We start from the raw sequence: 6533 nt of genomic DNA on the forward strand, positions 1-6533 counted from the left end.
TAGTAGAACTGTTTAAGCTCGAAGTATATTGATTAAAATAATAGGAATTATAATGTGTGAACGAACAGTTGCTCGGTATTTATAGAAATATTTTCTTCTAGGGCACAGTCCTCCCTTTCTCCCCAGATCCTGTAGTGAAACTACAGGTCAAATGCTGTGGCAATTCAAGAGGATGAGAGGAAATATGCTTTGAAATAGGAGGATAAACTGACCTGGCTGGTTTGGTAAGAGGTCCAAGGAACACAGTGTCCTTTGGACGCTGACAGCTGCTGGAAGATGTCTGTTCTTCTAGTCGGTCAGGCCGACCCTCTCTGGCTAGCTGACCTATGGCAAGCAGAAGTGGTCAACATAATGGAAAGCCCATTCCATCCTTGACAGTGAGATGTGCTGATGTGGGAGAGGAGAGAGATTTTAATCTTCTGATAAAAGAGGAAAAGATGTCCAGAATGAAAAGTAATATGAATGAGGCAGGTTACAAAACAATATGTACTGTGGTATCATATTTACATATTTTTACAAATATAAATGAGTATATAAAAATAATCTGGAATAATAGTTACAAACTGTTAATAGAGCTAGGATTGAAAATGGCAAAGAGGAAATTTTTTTTAATTTTGTATATTTTTATATTCTTTGAGTTCTTTCTAAAGATAATGCATTACTTCCCCCCACCCCTAAAATATTTTTTGGTACTTATTATATTATTTTTTAAAAAGTTAGCTTCATTGAAGTAACACTTACATATAGTAAAATCACCCTATTAAAACTCTAGGGTGGGCTGGGTGCGGCGGCTCACGCCTATAATCTCAGCACTTTAGGAGCCGAGGCAGGTGGATCATGAGGTCAGGAGTTCAAGACCAGTCTGACCAACATGTTGAAACCCCATCTCTACTAAAAATACAAAAATTAGCCAGACGTGGTGGCACGCACCTGTAATCTCAGCTACTCAGGAGGCTGAGGCAGGAGAATTGCTTGAACCCAGGAGGCGGAGGTTGCAGTGAGCCGAGATCACGCCATTGCACTCCAGCCTGGGTGACAGAGCGAGACTCCATCTCAAAAAAAAAAAAAAAAAAAAAAGTCTGTGGTGCTGGGCACAGTGGCTCATGCCTGTAATCTCAGCACTTTAGGAGGCCAAGGCAAGAGAATCCCTTGAGCCCAGGAGTTTAAGTCCAGCTTGGACAACATAGTGAGACCCTGTCTCTACAAAAAATTTTAAAAAGTTAACCACATGTGGTGGCATGCGCCTGTAGTCTCAACTACTTGGGAGGTTGAGGTGGGAGGATCACTTGAGCCCAGGAGATTGAGGCTGCAGTGAGCTATGATTGTGCTACCGCACTCCAGCCTGTACAACAGAGTGAGACCCTATCTCAAAAAAAAAAAAAAAGTCTATGGTTAGATGAGTTTTGAGAAATGTACACAGTCATGTAACCACCACCTGAATCAAGATATAGAACACTTCCAGGCCAAGTGTGGTGGCTCCTGCCTGTAATCCCAGCACTTTGGGAGGCTGAGGCTGGTGGATCACCTGAGGTCAGGAGTTCAAGACCAGCCTAGCCAATATGGTGAAACCCCATCTCTACTAAAAGTACAAAAAATGAGCTGGGCATGGTGGCAGACCTCTGTAATCCCAGCTACTCGGGAGGCTGAGGCAGGACAATCACTTGAACCTGGGAAGCAGAGGTTGCAGTGAGCTGAGATCATGCCATTGCACTCCAGCCTGGGCAACAAGAGTGAAACTCCGTCTCAAAAAAAAAAAAAAAAACAAACACTTCCACCACATTCAAATTTCTCTCCTGCCCTTTTGCAGTCCATCTCCTGTCTCCACTCCCCACTCCAGGTGACCACTGATCTGATTTCTGTCCCTATTGTTTAATCTCTTTTAGAATGTCATGTAAATGGAATCATACTGTAAGCATGTACATTTTTGTGCCTGGCTTCTTTCACTTAGCAAAATGCTATATAGATTCACGCATCATGATGCTTGTAGAGATTTGTTTCTTTTTTCTTTTTTTTCTTTTTTTTTTGTTGCCCCAGCCTGGGCAACAGGGTGAGACTCCGTCTCAAAAAAAAAAAAAAAAAAAATCTGGGTTATCTATTATTGAATTATAAGTTCTTAATATATTCTGGATATAAATTCTTTATCACAGATGTGTTTTTGCAAATATTTTCTCCCAGTTTGTGACTTTTTACTTTTTTTCTTTTTTGAAAGCAGCTAAGACCTGAATTTTTATTCTCTGAACAGTGTCTTTTTTTTCTTTTTTTTTTGAGACAGAGTCTTGCTCTGTCACCCAAGCTGGAGTACAGTGGTGTGATCTCAGCTCACTGCAACCTCTGCCTCCCAGGTTCAAGTGATTCTCAGCCTCAGCCTCCAGAGTAGCTGGAATTACAAGCGTGTGCCACCACATCCAGCAAATTTTTGTATTTTTAGTAGAGACAGGATTTCACCATGTTAGCCAGGCTCGTCTCAAACTCCTGACCTCAAGTGATCCGCCCTCCTCGGCCTCCCAAAGTTCTGGGATTACAGGAGTGAGCCACCATGCCTGGCCCGTGAACAGTGTCTTTTGAACAGCAAAAGTTTTAAGTTTTGATAAAATTATTTTTTTTCTTGAGTGGTTTGTCCTTTTTTTGTTCTATTTAAGAAATCTTTGCCTAACTGAAGGTGACACAGATTTTTCTTATGTTTTCTTTTAGTACTTTACAGTCACAGCTCTTATATTTAGGTTTATGGTTCATTTAGAGTTAAATTTTTAAGTTTTATTGAAATATAATTCATATATCACACACTGAATCTATTCTAGTGTAGAATTCAATGGTTTTTAGTATATTTACAGGGTTGTGTAGTCACCATCATGATCTAATTTTGAACATTTGTGTCAACCCGAAAAGAAACCCTATGCCCATTAGTAGTGACTTTTCATTTCTTCTCCCATCTCCTCAGCTATAAGCAATCATTAATTTACTTTCTGTCTCTATAGATTTGCCTGTTGAGTTAATTTTTTATATGATACAAGGTCAGAGTCAAATTTCATTTCTTTGCACATTTATGTCCAATTGTTCCAGCATCACCATTTGTTGAAAAGGCTATCCTTTCTCCATTGGAACTATTTACCTTGGCATCTTTGTCTATACCAATTGACTTATATGTGTGGATCTATTTTTGAACTTTTTTTTTTTTTGAGACGGAGTTTTGCTCTTGTCACCCAGGCTGGAGTGCAGTGGCATGATCTTGGCTCACTGCAACCTCCGCCTCCCGGGTTCAAGCAATTCTCCTGCCTCAGCCTCCCGAGTAGCTGGGATTACAGGCACCTGCCACCATGCCTAGCTCATTTTTGTGTGTGTTTTTAGTAGAGACAGGGTTTCGCCAGGTTGGCTAGGCTGGTCTTGAACTCCTGACCTCAGGTGATCCACCTGCCTCAGCCTCCCAAAGTGCTGGGATTACAGGCGTGAGCCACCCTTCCTGGCCTATTTTTGAACTTTCTGTTCTATTCCATCAGTCTGTCTACCAGGTGCTAAAACGACACTGTTTTGATTATTATAAATTTGTAAGTGATATGAAATGTGGTAATGTGAGTCCTCCAGCTTTGTTCTTTTTCAAAATAGCTTTGACTAGCCCAAGTTCTTTTCATTTCCATACAAAGTTTGGGATCAGCTTGTCAATTTCTAACATAAAAATACTAGGCTGTGGGATTTTTATTGTGATTACTTTGAATCTTTAGGTTAATTTAGGGAAAGCTGACGTTTTAAGAATATTGAGTCTTCTGATTCATGAACATGGTATACCTCTCCATTTATTTAGGTTTTAATTTTTTCAGCAATATTTTTTAGTTTCCAGTATAAGATCTTGCATGTTTTGTCAGATTTATCCCCAAGAATTTTATGTTATTTATTCTAAAGTAAATGTAATTTAAAAATTTTTAATTTCTAAATGTTTATTACTAGTATCTTGAAATATAATTTTTGTATTCTGTGACTACTAAATTCACTTATTAGTTCATGGTTTTGTATATCCTTTAGGATTTTCTATATTGATGATAACATTTTTATTTCTTTATTTCCAAATAGTATGTATTTTATTTCTTTCTCTTGACTTATTGTACTGGCAAGGACACCAGTTCAGTGTCGTATAGAATGTGTGAGGACAGATATCTTGCTGTGTTCTCAATTTCAGGGAAAATATTTGCTTTTTCATTAAGTATGTTGTTCTTTTTGTTTTGTTTTGTTTTGTTTTTGAGATGGAGTCTCACTCTGTCACCCAAGCTGGAGTGCAGTGGTGCAATCTTGGCTCACTGCAACCTCCGCCTTCCAGGTTCAAGCAATTCTCTGCCTCAGCCTCCCAAGGAGCTGGGATTACAGGCACCTGCCATCATACCCGGCTAAGTTTTCTATTTTTAGTAGAGACAGGGTTTCACCATATTGGCCAGGCTGGTCTTGAACTCCTGACCTCATGATCTACCCACCTCGGCCTCCCAAAGTGCTGGGATTACAGGTGTGAGCCACTGCGCCCAGCCAGTATGTTGTTCTTTATCGTTTGAGAAAGTTCTCTTCCATTCCCAGTTACATGAGTGGTTTTTATCATGAAAAAATGCTAGATTTTGGCAAATGCTTTTATGGCCATACCTTTATTAGCTTGTTAATGTGCTAAATTACATTGATTGAGTTTTTTATATGTTGAACCAACATTCAAAACCAGGAAGCCAGCTTTGCATTCCTGGGATAAACCCTACTTGGTCATGATGTATTATGCTTTTTATGTATTACTAGATTTGATTTTCTTTTTTTCTTTTTTTTTTTTTTTTTTGAGACTTGCTCTGTCTTGCTCTGTTGCCCAGGCTGGAGTGCAATGGTGCGATCTCAGCTCACTGCAACCTCCACCTCCCTGGTTCAAGTGATTCTCCTGCCTCAGCCTCCTGAGTAACTAGGATTACAGGCACATGCCATCATGCCCTGCTAATTTTTGTATTTTTGTAGAGACAGGGTTTCACCATGTTTGCCAGGCTGGTCTCAAACTCCTGACCTCAGGTGATCCACCCACCTCAGCTTCCCAAAGTGCTGGGATTACAGGAGTGAGCCACCACACCCGGCCCTTACTTGCTAATATTTTGTTAAGAATTATCCTATTTAGATTCATAAGAATATTGGCCCATGGTTTTTGTATTTTTCCTTTTGTAACATCTTTTCTGATTTTGGTATCAGAATAACAACGGGAGAAATGTTCTCTCTCCTCTTCTGTTTTCTGGGAGAGTTTGTATAAAATCAGTACAATTTCTTATTTGTTCTTCATTTTTTAGTTTGAATATGTCTATCTTATTTGAATTTTTTCTAAATAAAGTGCAATACTTTAAAAATATTTTTTTACATGACACAGCCCTAAGGAGATCCTGGGAACATGTGCCCAAAATGCAATACTTAAAAAAAAAAATTCTACTTTGAAATAATGTTGTACTTACAGAAAGGTTACAGAAATCCTGTCAAGTCTTCCTATATACCTTTCACCTAGATTGCCTTAATAGTAACATCTTACATAATCATAGTAGAATGATCAACATCATAAAATTAACATTGACATAACATTATTAACTAATAATAACATTAGTAGTAGTAGTAGTAGTAGTATGCCTTATTCCAGTTTCATCATTGTCTCACTAATGTTCTTTTCAGGCCCAAGATTCCACATTGCATTTAGTTGTCCTGTCTCCTTAGTCTCCTTCTTCTTTTTTTGTTTTTTCATTAAAATTTGTATTTTTTCGGCCAGGTGCAGTGGCTCACGCCTGTAATCCCAGCACTTTGGGAGGCTGAGGCAGATGGATCACGAGGTCAGGAGATCAAGACCATCCTGGCTAACACAGTGAAACCCCGTCTCTACTAAAAATACAAAAAAATTAGCCAGGTGTGGTGGCAGGTGCCTGTAGTCCCAGCTACTCAAGAGGCTGAGGCAGGAGAATGACGTGAACCTGGGAGGTGGAGCTTGCAGTGAGCAGAGATGGCACCACTGCACTCCAGCCTGGGCGACAGAGTGAGACTCTGTCTCAAAAAAAAAAAAATTTTTTTTCAAGGTTTGGGTGCACTGTTCCTGGAAGTACTGCAATATCAGGTCAATGTGTGGAGTGGATGTAGCAAGCTCCTATTCCATCTCCTGTTTCCAAAAATCCATTTAATATATTGTCCTTGGATAGAGGACATATCAGATATGAAACTGATAAAAACAGATACTATACTTGATCTTAGCCAAAAGACCAAGAAGTGATCCTTAGTTTCCTTCTAAGAGAGTTTCTTAGTCTTTCTTTATTGTTCATGATATTTGCATTAATTTTTTAATTAAAAAATAATCAGGGAGGCTGGGTGCAGTGGCTCACACCTGTAATCCCAGCACTTTGGGAGGCCGAGGCAGGTGGATCACCTGAGGTCACGAGTTCAAGACCAGCTTGGCCAACATGGCAAAACCCCATCTCTACTAAAAATACAAAAAATTAGCTGGGCTGTAATCCTAGCTACTCAGGAGGCTGAGGCAGGATAATCGCCTGAACCTGGGAGGT

At 39.5% G+C, this 6533-nt stretch overlaps 1 pseudogene; it reads right to left on the reverse strand.

Moving 5' to 3' along the window:
• Positions 6058 to 6245, reverse strand: RNU2-14P (RNA, U2 small nuclear 14, pseudogene; annotated as a pseudogene).

The sequence above is a fragment of the Homo sapiens genome, chromosome 14 (assembly GCF_000001405.40).
Source record: "Homo sapiens chromosome 14, GRCh38.p14 Primary Assembly".
Classification (NCBI taxonomy): Eukaryota; Metazoa; Chordata; class Mammalia; order Primates; family Hominidae; genus Homo; species Homo sapiens.